The 18,921-nt window shown below is 39.6% G+C and overlaps 1 protein-coding gene across 7 annotated transcripts in view; it reads left to right on the forward strand.

Moving 5' to 3' along the window:
• Positions 1–18,921, forward strand: part of R3HDM1 (R3H domain containing 1) — a 193,786-nt gene that overhangs the window by 164,378 nt on the left and 10,487 nt on the right. For all 7 annotated transcript variants that reach the window (NM_001378107.1, NM_001354200.2, NM_015361.4 and 4 more), the window contains 2 exons: positions 13,572–13,675; positions 14,198–14,370. In NM_001378107.1, the coding sequence (NP_001365036.1) occupies positions 13,572–13,675; positions 14,198–14,370 (277 nt within the window). The remainder of the gene's footprint in view (positions 1–13,571; positions 13,676–14,197; positions 14,371–18,921) is intronic.

Below are 18,921 nucleotides of genomic sequence, written 5' to 3' on the forward strand. Positions count from 1 at the left end.
GATACCAATGGAAATTGGTGGTACACAAAAGAATACAAATAAAAGGTAAGCAATATACAGGCTTAAAAAACAAATATATTTTTGTCCTTCTGACAAGGGCTCGTGTGTATAATAAATCAAGAATTCTCAAACCAACCACCTGGGGAAACAGTTTGTTTTAAACGTTAAACCCAATTATTCCACTTCCAAGTATTTAAGAAAAATGAATACTAGAAGAAACCCAAATGTCCACCCACAGGTGAATGGATACAATCCATGGTATATTCATCAGTGGAATATTACTTAGCAATAAAAAAAGATCTGTTGATAACAGCAACATGGATGAATCTCATAATTATCCTGAGCGAAAAAAGAAAAAGGCCAAAAAATATATATAAACCACATTATTCCATTGATATTATAGAAAATAACAACCTAATCTCTGTTGACAGCAGACAGATCAGTGGTTGCCTGGAGCCAGGAGGCTGGGAAGAGTTTATGGGGAAGAAGGGAAGGTGGGACTACAAAGGGGCACAAGGCAACTTTGGTGAGGCTTTATGGTGTGCATATACATAAAACTCTTTAAATTATATACTTTATGTGTGGTTTATTTTCTATAAATTATACCTCAGTAAAACTATAAAATAATCTGAGTCTTAAATTTTTTCTTAGAGACTGGTTCTTGCTGTCATTTAGGCTGGAATGCAGTGGTGTGATCCTGACTCACTGAGGCCTCAACCTCCTGGGCTCAAGCAATCCTCCTGCGTCAGCCTCCCAAGTAGCTGGGACTACAGGTGCACGCCACCACACCTGGCTAATTTTTTAATTTTTTTTAAAGATAGGATCTCACTGTATTACCCTGCTGGTGTCGAACTTTTGGGCTCAAGCAATCCTCCCACCTCAGTCTCCCAAACTGCTGGGTTTACAGATGTGAGCCACCTTGCCTAGCCTTCTTTTCTAATAGTTTAAACAAAGACTAGTTTTGGATAAAGTGAAAAGAAATACTGTAAAACTAACAAATTATTAAAAACAAGAGTAAGAATTTGTGAGGTTAAGATAGGCCACAGGGCATTTAATGGAGGAATAAAGGTAGACTTGAACTAACTGTAAAACCTGTTACAGAGTCATATTGAAATGTTAAAATTTAATCAAAAGTGTTTTTTTCAAAAAGCAAATGACTAAAAACTCCTTTCAGCCAGAGGTGAGAGATCGGGGGGAAACAAAAAAACAATAAAAAGAAAGTCCAAATACCTATGTTGCACCAGCCTGACCAACATAGTGAAGCCCCACCTTTACTAAAAATACAAGAAATTAGCTGGAAGTGGTGGCATACTCCTGTAATCCCAACAAAATACATGTAAAACCTTTATGCCCAAAACCATCTTGTGATGTGGAAGATTTGTACTCCCTATGGTTTATATCTTAGAACAGATGTCAGAAAACTACAGCCCACAATCAAAGAATGGTTTTTAAATTTGTAAAGGATTATTATTTTTTAACTCCTAAGTGACCATGTGTTACTCAGAGTTAAAATATATACTAGCTGGCTCTTGCAGAAAAAGTTTACCAGCATCTGCCTTAAAAAAACCTTGGCAGATAGGTATCAGAGACATGTTTATGAATGTTTGTAGCAACAATGTTTAGCCTAATACTGGAAGTAATCCAAATAAAATGGAATAGAATGTGTAAGTATATTTTGATGTATTCATTTCAGACACTACTATACAACAAAGAAAATTACTAAAGTACAACTACTTGTATCCAATTGGTTGAGTCTCACAGATATGATACTGAGTAATTAAGAAACAGTCATAAAATAATCTATTATTCCATTTATTTAGGATCAAAAACAGTCAAAACTCAACTATGTTCTTTTGGGATACATATATATGTGGTAAAATTATACAAGAAATAAAAAGCAAGTAAGTACTGGTTGGACAAAGTGGGTCACGCCTGTAATCCCAGCACTTTAGGAGGCCAAGGCAGGCAGATCAGTTGAAGCCAGGAGTTTGAGACCAGCCTGACCAATATAGTGAAACCCCATCTCTACCAAAAACAAAAAATTAACCAGGCATGGTGGTGCATGCCTATAATCCCAGCTACTCAGGAGGCTGACGCATAAGAATCACTTAAACCTGGGAGGCGGAGGTTGTAATGAGCCGAGATGGTGCCACTGCACTCCAGCCTGTGTGACAGAGCAAAACTCTGTCTCAAAAAAAAAAAAAAAAAAAGTAAGTGCTCTTCACAAAACTGGTAGGAGGGGGTTTTGATGTTAGAGGTGCATGAGACGGGAAGGCAGGGATACTTCTTTTTTTTCTTCTCCCTTTTTTTTTTTTTGAGACGGAGTCTCACTCTGTCACCCAGGCTGGAGTGCAGTGGTGCGATGTCGGCTCAGTACAAGCTCCGCCTCCCGGGTTCACGCCTTTCTCCTGCCTCAGCCTCCCGACTAGCTGGGACTACAGGCACCCACCACCACGCCCAGCTAATTTTTTGTATTTTTAGTAGAGACGGGGTTTCACCATATTAGCCAGGATGGTCTCAATCTCCTGACCTCGTGATCCGCCCTCCTCAGCCTCCCAAAGTGCTGGGATTACAGGCATGAGCCACCGCACCCAGCCAAGGCAGGGATGCTTCTAAGATACTAGCAATGTTCTGTTTCCCAATCTGAATGAAGTTACATAGATAATTATTTTGTTATTATACTTAATTTAAACTGTAATATATTTCTAAGCACTCTATATTCGTCTGTTCTCGCATTGCTATAAAGAAATGCCTGAGACTGAGTAATCTATAAAGAAAAGAGGTTTAATTGGCTCACAGCTCCGCAGGCTGCATAGGAAGCATAGTGGCTTCTAGGGAGGCCTCGGGAAACTTCAATTATGGCAGAAGGCAAGAGGGAAGCAGGCACGTCTTACATGGCTGGAGCCCGAGGAAGAGAAGAGTGGGGGGAGCACCACACACTTTTTAAAGAACCAGATCTCATGAGAACTCACTGTACAGTACCAAGGGGGAATGGTGCTAAACCATTAGAAACCACCTCCATGATCCAGTCACCTCCCAGCAGGCCCCACCTCCAGCGTTGGGGATTACATTGTGAATGAGATTTAGGTGGAGACACACATCCAAACAATATTACACTCAGATAGATAGATAGATAGATAGATAGATAGATAGATAGATAGATAGATAGATAGATAGATAGATAAGATAGATAAGATAGATTGATTAGATAGATTAGATAGATAGATAGATAGATAGATAGATTAGATATTCCAAACCCCAAAAAATAGCAAAATCATTCGAAGAGAGGCCTAAATATATAGAAGACTTTAGGAGAAAAAAAGCTAACAGAATGGGAGGAGAGGAATTGAAGACAATAAATAGAGACAGCCTTTGAAGAGAATTGCTTTCATAAGGATAAGCGTTGAATTGGATTCGTATATGGAGAGGATGAAGTCAAGACAGAGGATCCTTTTTTGATTGAAAGATAGATGCATGTGTTTGTATGCTGAAGGGAAAGGCTTAGTAGATACAGAAGATTTGCCTCTGCAAGGGACAAGAGAGAGAGTTGTAAGGTCCCCAGGGAGGGTGAGAGCCACCACAAAAATGGAAGCGGGTTAGCCTTAGATAACAGTGCAGAGGATTTCATGGGCAGTAAACGAGGACAAGGAGAGTATAAGGATACAGATATGGGTAGATGGATAGATATGGCAGCAAGAGAAATTCTCTTCTGATTGCTTTGCTTTTCTCAGTGAATTAGTCAAGATATCAAGTACATTATCAGAGTAGAAGAATGTTCTAAAGTTTTGTAAATGTAGAAATCCATTACAGCTATATTAAGACTAATATTCAAAGGAAAGAAGCAAGATACAGGGGAAATGTGACAAGTATGCCTAATAAAAGCTTATTATATAGAACATTTTTATCACTTCTCTATGTTCTAAGATGGTAACAGTGAGACTACAAGTAAATAATCCATAGAGATAAATTGTTACTCGAAGAAAACTGATAGTAAGTTTTCACATGGGAAAATGTTGTCTTACCAGCAATCCAAAAAATGAGAATTAAGGCAACTTGAACACAAAAAGTAGGCTAAAACATATAGTTAGCAATACTGTGCATAGAGACGTTTAAACATTACTGGTTGCTAGGCATATCAAGCCCATTTTTCTATAAATCAGTCGGGATATTTAACAAAATGCAAAATTGCTGTACTTTTAAATTCTACCTCTAAAATTTTATCACAAAGATAATCCACCCCAGAATTTAAATTGTGGCTAAACAAATTATAACAGTGCTATTATTAACATAAGAATCCAAATAAAAAGATGCAAAAAAAAAAACATGGAGTAACCTGGTAACCTTTGAATAGTTTAAATTTTCTTCTCCATTTATTTTTCTGCTAGGCTGATTAAGTTTAGCTTAAGTCATAGTGAGATTTACTTAGTTGTCACAGACCGTTTCTCAGATAGTGGGACCAGTGAGTTTTAAAGGTGTTTGTTCTGTGTTAATTGCTCCAGTATCTTCAATTCAGAAGAATAAATGTTTGATATTCAGGCTGCTATAGTTCACAAATGGATTTTATTGATGACTTACAGCATTTTAAGTGAATAGAGCACATGTCTATTAAGTAATATTATTAAGTTCAGGAAGCTTGCTTAACTGCCATTGACAATAAGATGTAGGGTGGTTTAAAAAGGCAGAAAACCAAATGACTTAACACACCTTGACAACTGTTCATAAATTTTCAAAGACATCGCTTCTAGTAGTCACTAAAAGCTGTAGTAGATGTATGACTTGCTTTTCAAATGAATCAATTATTGCTTGAGAAGAATACACTTGTTCCTATTCTCCCATCTAAAAAATAATTTGAAATAGCAGCCATGAAATATTTACAAAAACATAAAGAGAAAAGACACATGATGGCAGTTTATTTTCATGTGGAATTTCCCATGCTATTAATTTTCCTAAGTCTCGACCTTTTGTGGGTGATTTCATACAACAGGATTTTGTAAATACTTTTCATGTACAGTAGTCCCCCTTATCCAGAGGGTATATGTTCCAGGATCTCCCAGTGAATGCCTGAAACCATGGAATTGAACCCTGTATGTACTATGTTTTTTCCTATACATACATGCCTCCGATAAAGTTTTAATTTATAAATTAGGCACAGTGATAGATTAATAACTAATGATAGAACAATGATAACAATATACTGTAAGAAAAGTTACAGGAATGTGGTCTCTCAAAATATTGTACATTGGCCTGGCACAGTGGCTCACGCCTGTGATCCCAACACTTTGGGACACAGAGATGGGAGAATCGCTTGAGGCCAGTAGTTTGAGAGCAGCCTTGGGCAACATAACAAGACCTCATCTCTACCAAAAAAAAAAAAAAAAAAAAACTATAAAAATTAGCCAGGTGCAGTGGTGCACACCTGTAGTCCTAGCTACTTGGGAGACTGACCTGATAGGATCACTTGCACCCCGGAGTTCAAGGTTACAGTGAGCTACAATCTTAACACTGCACTCCTGGGTCACAGAGCAAGACCCTATCTCCAAAAAATAATAATAAAGTAAATATATACACATGCATACATATAAATGTACTCATCCTTGTGGTGATGTGAGATGATGAAATGCATATGTGATGAGATGAAGTGAGGTGAGGTGAATGATTGTAGGCGTTGTGACATAATGTTTGGCTACTGTTGACTCTCCAACAGGATGTCAGGAGGAGGATCATTTGATTCAGGTGATCTAGATCATCAAGTCGTGACAGTGTTGATAGCTAAATGTCAGGAGCAAAGAGTGTCCATGACTAACAGGCAGCATGGATATGCTGGGCAAAGGGATGATTCACATCTTGGGCAGCACACCATGAGATTTCTTCATGCTACTCATAATGACATGCAATTTAAAACTTATAAAGTGTTTATTTCTGGCATTTTTAATACTTTTGGACCATGGTTGACTGAGGGTAACTGAAACCAAGGAAAGCAAAACCACAGATAAGGGGTGACTACTGTGTGCACCATTTTTATTCATTCTGCCATGTGCTTATTTATCTTGTTTTTAAACAGCTCTATTGAGATATAATTTATATACTATACAATTCACTTAACATGTACATTTCAGTAGCTTTTAGTGTATTTCCAAATGTGTGCAACCATCACCGTGGTCAATTTTAAAACATTTTCATCACCCTCAGAAAGAAACCCTGAGGTGGAAGCAACTCAAGTGTCTATCAACAGGTGGATAAAGAAAATGTGGTATGTACATACAGTGGCTTGAGCCAGGAGTTTGAGATTGCAGTGAGCTATGATTGCACCACTGCACTCCACCCTGGGCGACAGAGCAAGACGTTGTCTCAGGGGGAAAAAAAAAAAAAAAAAAAAAAAGGCTGGGCGCAGTGGCTCATGCTGGTAATCCCAGCATTTTTGGAGGCCAAGGTGGTTAGATGACCTGAGGTCAGGAGTTTTGAGACCAGCCTGGCCAACATGGCAAAACCCCGTCTGTACTAAAAAATACAAAAAAATGGCCGGGTGTGGTGGCTCACACCTGTAATCCCAGCACTTTGGAAGGCCAAGGCTGGCGGATCACAAGGTCAGGAGATCGAGACCATCCTGGCTAACACGATGAAACCCCATCTCTACTAAAAATACAAAAAAATTAGCCGGGCATGGTGGCAGGCACCTGTAGTCCCAGCTACAGCAGGAAAATGGCGTGAACCCAGGAGGGCAGAGCTTGCAGTAAGCCGAGGTCATGACACTGCACTCCAGCCTGGGCGACAGAGCAAGACTCCGTCTCAAAAAAAAAAAAAAAAAAAATATCAGGCATGGTGATGTGTGCCTGTAATCCCAGCTACTCGGGAGGCTGAGGAAAGAGAATCACTTGAACTTGGGAGGTGGAGGTTGCAGCGAGCCGAGATCGCACTCCAGCCTAGGTGACAGAGCAGGACTCCTGACTCAAAAAAAAGAAAAACATATAGAGTAAAGAGATCTCAGTCTAGGAACAGACTTAAGAGGTGGCAAAAGAGAGCAGCATAGAATCAACTATACTAAAACTGAAATTATTGTTTAGCAGGTGTTTTCTATCACTTCATTGACCCACTAAAGTGCTGTCTCTAACAGATCTGCTAATACGCTGCTTGATGATGGCTGGTTCATCCTAATGCGCTGGTCAGAATATGCCCCATCTCAAGATCAGTCATTCTCCAGGAGCATCAGAGACATCTTTGTGGTGAATTGTGTTTATGATACCTACCCTCCAATTTCTCAAGCCGAAGGCATCTTTTCCATTAAATATATAATGTAGACTCTTTTTTAGGTTTCATGCAAATACTTGTTTAAGTACTTAAAAAGTTCAGAGCTCCTTTTTAAGGAATATATTAGCCCTTCTTGCAGGTACTTCTGCATCCTACCTATTTATTAAATGGGAAATAATCCTCTTTGGGCAAGATTTCCAGCCCAGCTTCTAAGTTTCCTAGTAAAACATGAAGTATGTTTTATATGTGATACTGGAAGGCTGGATTTCTCTATAATTAACTGCATGCTGTAAATTTATTTTAGAATACAATTATGATATTCTGCAATCCAGCACCTGCCAGTGGCCTAACTGCTTGCTTTCCTTATCATCCTGGCAGTTATATAATCCCTGGGCTCACCATTTTATCTTAGCTGCCAAGAAACACAAAGCTACATTCAATGCTCTATGAAAGCAACAATCTTAGGGCAGGCGTCCCCACTCCCTTTTTTTAATACTTCATTTTTTAGTCAAATTCAGTTTTTTTTTAATGGCTCACATTAGGGAATAGATGAGCTATAAATTAATGCTTTTATAAATATGAGCATTTAACCAGAAAGCCCAGATAAATCAGCTATTAGCATTTAAAGGAAAACCCAAAAAATGACACATTAAAGATTTTGACATTTATTTTCATTAATTGAGCATATAGTCAAATTCTGATTAATTGAAAGTTTATATTATACTAGGTATATATACCCTCACCACAAAAAATATATATAAAATGGAAATTACTATGACTTTGAGAAAGCTTATGAGGCAGAAAGTTGGTGTTTTCTTCCAGAGACTACAAGCCTAGTTGAGCATCTGACCTGCAAATGAATTGGTTATTTATTCATTTATTTATTTATTTAGAGACAGAGTCTTGCTCTGTTGCCCAGGCTGGAGTGCAGTGGTGTGATCTCAGCTCACTGCAACCTCCGCCTCCTAGGCTCAAGCAGTTCTCCTGCCTCAGCCTCCTGAATAACTGGGATTACAGGCACCCACCACCACGCCCAGCTAATTTTTGTATTTTTAGTAGAAATGGGTTTCACCATGCTGACCAGGCTGGTCTCGAACTCTTGACCTCAAGTGATCCGCCTGCCTCAGCCTCCCAGAGTGCTGGGATTACAGGCATGAGCCGCCACACCCGGCTGAACTGAAGGTTTATATTGCAGAATATCAGCATAAACATCTTCAAATGGCCATACTCTGACATCTGCTGAAGTTTTCTGAAGCAGATTCAAATTGTTTCATTGAAATTAACTTTCTACTATAACATTTAAAAGCTAAACTTTTCAGTTTTCAAAAAGCATTTTAAAGTATTGTTTATAATTACAAAATGCATGCATGCTTTTTTTTTTTTTTTGAGACAGAGTCTCTTTCGCCCAGGCCAGACTGCAGTGGTGCCATCTCGGCTCACTGCAACCTCTGCCTCCCGGGTTCAAGTGATTCTTCTGCCTCAGCCTCCCAAGTAGCTGGGATTACAGTCATGCACCACCACACCCAGCTAGTTTTTGTATTTTTAGCAGAGATAGGGTTTCAGGCTAGTCTCAAACTCCTGACCTCAAGTGAGCCGTCCTCCCCGGCCTCCCCAGATGCTAGGATTACAGGCATGAGCCACCACACCCAGCCTCTTACAGAGTTTTAATGTAGCTGAAATCTTACTGTATATATTTCACTTATTGGTCATAGTAAAAATTTTTTCATCCTATTAAAAATTCATTAATATAATTTAATGATCATACTCTTACATTTTATGAATATACAATAATATATTTACCCTATTGCAGAACATTTAGGTCGTATCTTTTTACTTTATTGAACCATCTTGTAAGCAATTTTAATTACTCCCTTGGCATGAGTCCTTAGAAGGGAATTAGTAGGTTAAAGGATGTGACTGTTATTAAGGTCCATGGTACATTTTGCCAAAATCTTTGATTCACAGTCCCAATATGTACTGACTCCGCTTTACTGTTTTCACATTTCATAAATGGCAACATGTATTAATTTGGCTCTGTGATTATTAATGAAGTTGTACATTTTTATGTTTGGCTGTTTACACTTTGAATTATTTGGCCAAATCTTTCATCATAGTTTGGTAAGGCAAGTGCTAATTGCATGTTTAAGTGCTAATGGCATGTTTGTTGATGAAAGAGCTGAAGTTCAAATAACATGTTCAGACTCATATAACGAATAACAAGTAGAGTTGGAACACAGCCCTGTGCTCCCTTCTGACACCCAAATACATGGTGCTTTGCCCTAGGTCAGGTATTAAATGTCAAAGGCATTAAAATAGCAATGTACTGTCACTTGAATTTGCAAGATCTAGTGAATATATCTTAATATCAAGCATTGATATTGCTTGATATTAAGCAGTGGTGGGCGCTTGTAGTTAGCTACTCGGGAGGCTGAGGCAGGAGGATCACTTGAGCCCAAGTGTTCAGTGCTTCAGTAACCTATGATAACACCACTGCATTCCAGCCTGAGGAATAGAGTGAGACCTTGTCTGTTTAAAATAAATAAATAAATAAAATCACACTTTGATAAAGTAAGTTTCTAACTTTAAAAATACATTATATTTGTCATTTTTTTTATCATGGCTTCAATTCCAAAACATGGTAAGAATGAATAACTAATTAACTGGAGAGAAGGGGAATTTCTCTGAATTACCCTATAATGTTAAAGGAATAAGATGAGCACTGTAAAAAAACTCAGAAGAAGGACCGGGCACAGTGGCTCACGCCTGCAATCCCAGCACTTTGGGAGGCCAAGGCTGGCGGATCACGAGGTCAGGAGATCGAGACCATCCTGGCTAACATGGTGAAACCCCGTCTCTACTAAAAATACAAAAAATTAGCCGGGCGTGGTGGCGGGCACCTGTAGTCCCAGCTACTCGAGAGGCTGAGGCAGGAGAATGGTATGAACCCGGGAGGCGGAGCTTGCAGTGAGCCAAGATTGCGCCACTGCACTCCAGCCTGGGTGACAAAGGGAGACTCCATCTCGAAAAAAAAAAAAAAAAACTCAGAAGAAACCTGTGGGATATCCTATAATGTCTTTCATCAATCTCCAGTGATCTTGTAGAAGCATTTCACAGCAGTTTGTCTGGCTCTACCTTACGTAGAGAAGAGGCAGCTCCTAAACAGGAAAAAAATATTGGTAATAATTTTTATTGCAGTGGCCTTAATACAGTTGAAAGTGGATATTTTGATTTTTTTTTTTAGTTTACATATCCATAGTTTTGTTTTTGTTTTTGTTTTTGTTTTTGTTTTTTTTGAACATTCTTGGGTGTTTCTCGCAGAGGGGGATTTGGCAGGGTCATAGGACAGTAGTGGAGGGAAGGTCAGCAGATAAACAAGTGAACAAAGGTCTCTGGTTTTCCTAGGCAGAGGACCCTGCGGCCTTACGCAGTGTTTGTGTCCCTGGGTACTTGAGATTAGGGAGTGGTGATGACTCTTAACGAGCCTGCTGCCTTCAAGCATCTGTTTAGCAAAGCACATCTTGCACCGCCCTTAATCCATTTAACCCTGAGTGGACACAGCACATGTTTCAGAGAGCACAGGGTTGGGGGTAAGGTCATAGATCAACAGGATCCCAAGGCAGAAGAATTTTTCTTAGTATAGAACAAAATGAAAAGTCTCCCATGTCTACCTCTTTCTACACAGACACAGCAACCATCCGATTTCTCAATCTATTCCCCACCTTTCCCCCTTTTCTATTCCACAAAACCGCCATTGTCATCATGGCCCGTTCTCAATGAGCTGTTGGGTACACCTCCCAGACGGGGTGGTGGCCGGGCAGAGGGGCTCCTCACTTCCCAGTAGGGGCGGCCGGGCAGAGGCGCCCCTCACCTCCCGGACGGGGCGGCTGGCCGGGCGGGGGGCTGACCCCCCCACCTCCCTCCTGGACGGGGCGGCTGGCTGGGCGGGGGGCTGGCCCATTCATAGTTTTATGTCAGGACTTTTCAGGAAGTTTGGGGATAAATGGGATTATTTGAGATTGATGTTTCATTTTTCTGTTAAAGGGTAGGATATCAACTTTGAATGACTAGGCCTGGTGCTTTACTTTAAAAGTCCTTCTTTCCCTCCTGTCTTCCAAAGGAGGAGAAACTTGTGAAATTACTATAGAACTGATTCATCTCTGGTATAATATATTTGTATTTTTAAAGAGAGAGTGTAAATACTGACTTCTGTGCTTTCTTTTTTCTAAAGTGTTTAAGTGATTTAAGAGGGTGTCTCATTGCCTAGTCTATGTCCCTTGAATTATCTATACGTCTCTCAGAAGATAAGTAGAGGCCTGGAACTCATTTACATAATTCTAAAACTTGATTCTTACTCATTTACCTAACGGGTAATCTAGTGCTAGAAACCCACTAGAGTGGTAAAATGAAATCGCAGTTTGTAATTTAGTAGAGTATGGGCTATATTGCTTACTTCAGTGACCGACCTGAGTATTCCCTTCCCTTTGCAGGATGGCTTGCTTTCACCCACATGTCTCAGACCTTAGCAAACAAGATCAGAGTGAGGGGCATGGCTCAGGAGAGCTGTTCACATGGGTTAGAACAGAGCCTAAAAAACCTTCCACCTCTGGGGACCTTTCTGTTTTCCTCAATTTCGGCACATTTACAGACTTAAGCTGTATTATTTCCACAGGTAGCTAATACTTATATTACACATTACAACCATAATTAACATAAATTTCAGAAAGTACTGTTTTCACTTATGATCCAAAATCACTTTCTATTAAATCCTCCCTTTATATCTCTTTTTCCCTTTTATTGAACCGCTCTGAGTTACTGCCCCTAAAAAGGCATAAAGCTTTACTAATTCTTATTAACTGTCAGCCTGAAAGACAGAATTAACTTTTTATTATGGAAATCTGTAAACATATATAAATATAAACAGAAGTATACTGAACCCATATATGCCCATCACCAATTATGTAATTACTAATCTGTTTTCATATAAATCTCTGCCTCTTCTCCCTCCAATATTAGTTTGAAATAAATCCCAGGCATCATAGTATTTCATATCCATGAGTATTTCAGCATATGTATCCCTGAAGGATTTTTTAAATCCCACATAATATCATTTTATATCTTAAAATATTGAGGTTAATTCATTAATTACATCAAATATCCAGTTAATATTTGTATTTCCTTCTGCCCCGCAAATATTGCTTATGTTTTTACACATTTGTCTTAGAGTTTCCCATATTCTGGATTTTACCGATTGCGTCATCATACTGTCATTTAACATGTCTTCCTGTATTCTCTGTAATTCAGTAGTTTTGTATAAAGTTTAATGCAATTATACGAGACACAGGTGCAAAAAGTTATTCCAACTAAATTAAGAAATACTGTTTTTGTAAGACAGCTTTTTAAAATGACAAAGACAATAGAGTTTTAGATATAAATTATGGCTCTCAGTTACTCATGAATTCTCAGAATAGTATCATTCTGTGGTTTTTAACTATTATAAAAAAATTCTAGAAAAAACTTCAGAGATAATGTTATGACAAACCCCATATTAATTTGAGTCTGAAAGACTGCTCAGGCCAGGTGCAGTGGCTCACACCTGTAATTCCAGCATGTGGGGAAGCTGAGACAGGAGGATCACTTGAGGTCACGAGTTCAAGACCAGCCTGGCCAAAATGGCAAAACCCCATTCTACTAAAAATGCAAAAAGTAGCCGGGTGTGGTGGCAGACACCTGTAATCTCAGCTACTTGGGAGGCTGAGGCAGGAGAATTGCTTGAAGCCTGGAGGCAGAGGTTGCAGTGAACTGAGATCGTACCACTGCTCTCCAGCCTGGGTGACAGGGCAGAACTCTGTCTCAAAAAAAAAAAAAAAAAAAACTAACTGTTCAAAAATACAGCAGTAACTTAATGGTTTCACACTAATAGCCTTTAATTTTTGTCAATATTTTGTTAACTATGTCAGAACATGTTCTGTTGTTTCCTCTATTCTTAGTAATTAGTCTCGCTCTGTCGCACAGGCTGGAGTGCAGTGGCGCAATCTCGGCTCACTGCAAGCTCTGCCTCCTGGGTTTACACCATTCTCCTGCCTCAGCCTCCTGAATAGCTGGGACTACAGGCACCTGCCACCACGCCCGGCTAATTTCTTGTATTTTTAGTAGACATGGGGTTTCACCGTATTAGCCAGGATGTTCTCGATCTCCTGACCTCGTGATCCGCCCGCCTTGGCCTCCCAAAGTGCTGGGATTACAGGCGTGAGCACCGCGCCCAGCCCATTCAAGAATGTTTATAGTCATCCTCCTCTCATTATGCTGTTTTTTTGTTTTTTCCATAGCTCTTCAGTAGGTTACCTGCAACATCCAGGATCAGAACAAGTACAATTTCCTCGAACCACTTCACCATGCAGTTCCCAGCAGCTTCAAGGCCACCAATGTACAGGTATAAAGAAATCAGTGAAAATAAGATGATTGGTTCATATGAGAAATAGTTCGATTACTTTCCTTAGGCATTTCTACAAAAAGCTTCTCAATTTGTGATGTGCTGAAATACACCCACAATATTGAGGGTGCTGTACTGAATCATAGTTAACATGTGCAGTCCACTTCTTCCTTTCCTTCTACTGCTGCTATCACAGTACTATCCTGATTCTCCTTTCTCAGAAGTATTGATACTCTCTAGGGTTATTTCCTATGCCTTCTGTCATTACTCTTCCAGCTGTTCCTGTTTACTCCAAATTACCTTTATGATAAGTGAGATGTTTAGGCCTACAGAGTCCATCTTAATGCCTGTTTAAACACACAATACTTGTAGTGTGATGCACTAGGGCTTCAACCTGGTTTTCTTAGTTAATAGTAAAATTTTATTCAGAAATGTAAAATTACTACTGTTATCCTAGTGTTCAGAAACACCAACTAGTTGCTAAAATATTCTGACTATAGCATCCTAAATTCTGATTTTCAGCTGGACCACCACCGCCACCTGGTGGGGGGATGGTGATGATGCAGCTCAGTGTACCAAACAATCCACAATCTTGTGCCCACTCACCCCCGCAGTGGAAACAAAACAAATATTACTGTGATCACCAGAGAGGACAGAAGTGTGTAGAATTTAGCAGTGTAGACAATATTGTCCAGGTAAGATGGTTTTGTTCATTATCATTTTGAAACGTTACATTTTTGTTACCTAAGATTGACTTATAAGGCTTGAATTTGAAATCCCGTCAGCCAGATTAATAAAAGAATTTGGGCCAGGCGCGGTGGCTCTCCCCTGTAATCCCAGCACTTTTTGGGAGGCTGAGGCACGGGGATCACCCAGTTTCAGACCAGCCTGACCAACATGGTGAAATCCCATCTCTACTAAAAATACAAAATCAGCTGGGTGTAGTGGCACATGCAAAAATACAAAATCAGCCGGGTATGGTGGTAGCATGCATCCCAGCTACTCAGGAGGCTGAGGCAGGAGAATCGCCTGAACCCAGGTGAGTGGAGGTTGTAGTGAGCCAAGATCGTGCCATTGCACTCCAGCCTGGGCAACAAGAGTGTAACTCTGTCTCAAAAAAAAAAGACGGAGGAAAAAAAGAATCAGTGTTTAAATATTATTTGCTAACTTCTGCGTATTCAAAAAAGTGTTTTCTAACTTAAAAAGATAAACTAGATCTAAAATTTGGTGAAGAAAAATAAGCATTTATCCTACCTTTCCCATATGACTATATATTAATGTAACCAAATAGTTGATAAGGGAATGTTCTCTGTAGAATAATCCAGTTAATAAATGCAGAAGCAATGGTAGAATTAGAAAATTGCCAGAAAATCATCAGCAGATCCTAAAAATATTAGATTAAAAAGTTTTGGTTGAGAAACTGCTCACTTTAAAAAAAAATTTTGAGAGGTATTTTAAATGGATGAATTAGAGAGACAGCCCTGAATCCACTGATCAGTTGTAACATCACTAAAAGTGGGCCAGCCAAACATTATTTACCTCTTCATGTGGTATAGAAGGAAGTACACAGCATTACTTATGATATACTCTTACCGAAATTTGAATCTATTCAAGCCTCTAACCCTAGCTACTAGTTTATGGGAAATATAAGAAGAAACAAAAACAAATTACCTGATACCTGATACCAGTGGGACATTTTACTTGACAAATTGGCCCTGTTACTTGAATAGATGGCATTTTGAAATAGGAGCTTGGTCTGTTATACATTAAAAGAGACTCAAGAGGTATAATATCAGATATAATGTATGGATCTTATTTGGATATTGAATGATCAAAAGACATTTTTTAAGGCCAGGCGCAGTGGCTCATGCCTGTAATCCCAGCACTTTGGGAAGCTAAGGCAGACCTGGAACGCAGGAGTTCGAGACCAGCCTGGGTAACATGGTGAAACCCTGTCTCTATAAAAAATACAAAAAATTATTCGGCCATGGCAGTGTGCACCTGTAGTCCCAGCCACTCAGGAGGCTGAGGCAAGATTGCTTTATCCCAGGAGTTCAAGGCTGCAGTGAGCTATGATCATGCCACTGCGCTGCCCCCTAGCAACAGAGGGAGACCCCAACTCTTTGAAAAAAAAAAAAAAACCCAGGCACAGTGGCTCATGCCTATAATCCCAGCACTTTGGGAGGCCAAAGCGGGCAGATCACCTGAGGTCAGGAGTTTGAGACCAGCCTGGCCAACATGGAGAAACCCCGTCTCTACTAAAAATACAAAACTTAGCTGGACGTGGTGGCGGGCACCTGTAATCTCAGCTACTCAGGAAGCTGAGGCAGTAGAATTGCTTGAACCCAGGAGGCAGAGGTTGCAGTGATCTGAGATCGTGCCCTTGCACTCCAGCCTGGGTGACAGAGCGAGACTCTGTCTAAAATTAAAAAAAAAAAAAAAAAAAAAAAAAGAGTTGTCCGTTAGATATAAATGTTTGTATACTGAAATATTTACAAGTAAAATGCTGAGATTTGCTTTAAATACTTCAGGAAAAACAAAGCCAGGGCGATCACAGTTGAACCTGGATGATGGGTACATGGAATTTCATTATGCTTTTCTATCTATACTTTTATATACTTGAAATTTTATAGAATTAAAAGGTTTTATCTTTTGTTGAGAAAAGGTTACCCTCTGACACCAGGCTGGACTGCATTTGCACAGTCACAGCTTACTGCAGCCTCAACCTCCTGGGCTCATCATTTAGAGACAGGGTCTGGCTCTGTTACCTAGGCTGGAGTGCAGTGGCATGTTCTGGGCCTACTGCAGCTTCCATCTCCTGGGCTCAAGCCATCCTCCCACCTCAGCCACTTGAGTAGCTGAGACCGCATGCACACCACCATGCCCAACTAATTTTTTTTTTTTTTTTTTTTTTTTATAGAGATGGGGTATTGCCGTGTTGCCCAGGCTAGTCTCAAATTCCTGAGCTCAAGCGGTCCACCTGGCTCAGCCTCCCAAAGTGCTGGGATCATAGGCTTGAGCCGCTTTACCCAGCCAGGTTTTAACTTTTTTTAAAAGATACAGGTTGGGCATGGTGGCTTACGACTGTAATCCCAGCACTTCCGGCCGGGCACGATGGCTCACGCCTGTAATCCTAGCACTTTGGGAGGCCGAGGTGGGAGGATTACGAGATCAGGAGATCGAGACCATCCTGGTTAACATGGTGAAACCCCGTCTCTACTAAAAATACAAAAAATTAGCTGGGCGTGGTGGTGGGCGCCTGTAGTCCCAGCTACTTGGGAGGCTGAGGCAGGAGAATGGCGTGAACCTGGGAGGCGGAGCTTGCAGTGAGCCAAGATCGCCCCACTGCACTCCAGCCTGGGCAACAGAGCAAGACTCCGTCTCAAAAAAAATAAATAAAAATAAAAAAAATCCCAGCACTTTGGGAGGCCAAGGAGAAAGGATCACTTGAGTCCAGGAGTTCAAGAGCAGCCTAGACAACATAATGAGATTCCATCTCTATAAAAAAATTAAAAATTAGCCAGGTGTGGTGGTATACACCTGTAGCGCTAGTTACTTGGGAGGCTGAACCAGGAGGATTGCTTGACCCTGAGTGGTAGAGGCTGCAGTGAGCTGTGATCACACTACTGTACTCCAGCCTAGGTAACAGAGTGAGACCCTGTCTCAAAAAAAACAAAAGGAGGGGGAACAAAGGTTATTACAGATCAGCTCACAAACTACCAATGGCCATTAAACAGATGAAAATATAAAACTACTTTTCATCTATATAATTGGGAAAATTCAGGAAGACCAATAATCTGCCGTAGTAATAGTTTGGCAAAGATCAAGTTATAAGCTCTGGGACTCTCTTTGTGGTAGTGTAAATTGGTACAGCTCTTTGGAATGCACTTTGGAGACATTTTTCAAAATGTAGAATTTGATCCACAGATATGCTTCTGGAACTTTACCCAGTAAAAATTAAATAATAAGTGCAAAAATATGTGTACAATATTTCTTTTTTCCTGTTGTAATATTGAAAAACTGTGAACAGTCTTGACATTCACCAGTGGGTAACTGATTATTACTGTGCCATTTAGGAAAATGCCCTTAAGTGTGTAATACTGAAAAGAATAAGATAAACCTACTATTGAAATGGTAGTTTGTAAATAACCAGTCTCCATTAAAAGGAACTAGGGCTCCTTAGAAAAATAACTGTTGCCAGAGTTGGTGCAGGGAAAGTACCAGATGGGTGTAGGCCATCTTGGCTATGCCAGAAAGTAAGGAAGGGATGGAAGAAAAATAGGGACGTCTTGAAGAATACAGGATCAGGAGTGGAGGTTTGGGGCATAAAACAATGATAGAAATGAATGATCATCCATAGAATAAAATAAGAATTCATGAGTCCATACTGATAAAAATCAATAAATGGAAAATGAAACTGTCTTACCTTAGTGTAATATAAAGTGATAAATGTAGAATCGTGAAATTAAAAGATCACCACCAAGAAAACCATCAGGCAAGAGTCACCACTAGAGGCTACAAAACTAGTGGGTGAAATTCTGAGGAAAAGCATAATTTTTTTTTAAAGTATCTCCCTACAAGATACTTAAAACTACAAAGGAAAAAAATTGTAATTTACAGTGGAGAAACCTGATAGGCACCATGTTAACAAAGCAGTCGAAGTAAATATCACCAATACTGTGATGAGAGATAGACGTCAGGTTCCTTCTGATGTGATCCATTGAGAAGGACACATTACTTCTCTGGTGTTCCTTTCCCAAATATATAACATGAACTTTTTAATGAGGAGACAGCAGACAAACCCAAATTGAGGGACAGTCTACAAAATAACTGATCTTCCAAAACAAATCTTCAGAAATGTCAAAGTCATGAAAGAAAGAAGAGACTGTGCTGTTCTGCTTCAGATTAAAGAAGATTAAAGAGCCATGACAACAAAATGCAGCCCTTGATTCTAGTCTGGATTCTGGACTTGAAGGGAAACATTTTTCTTATCTTTTGCTATAAGGGACATTAGTGGGACACTTGGCAAAATTTAAATTAACTGTAGATTAGATAATACTATTGTATTGTTAATTTTCTGGCTTTTATTCTACTTTGATTATATTATAAAAGTCCTTGTTGTTAGGAAATAGACACTAATTATTTTGGGTTAAAGGAATATCATGTGAAATTCACTTTCAAACAGTTCCAAAAAACACAGTGATATATATGTATATATATGGGTGTATACACACACACACACACAC

The sequence above is a fragment of the Homo sapiens genome, chromosome 2 (assembly GCF_000001405.40).
Source record: "Homo sapiens chromosome 2, GRCh38.p14 Primary Assembly".
Taxonomy (NCBI): Eukaryota; Metazoa; Chordata; class Mammalia; order Primates; family Hominidae; genus Homo; species Homo sapiens.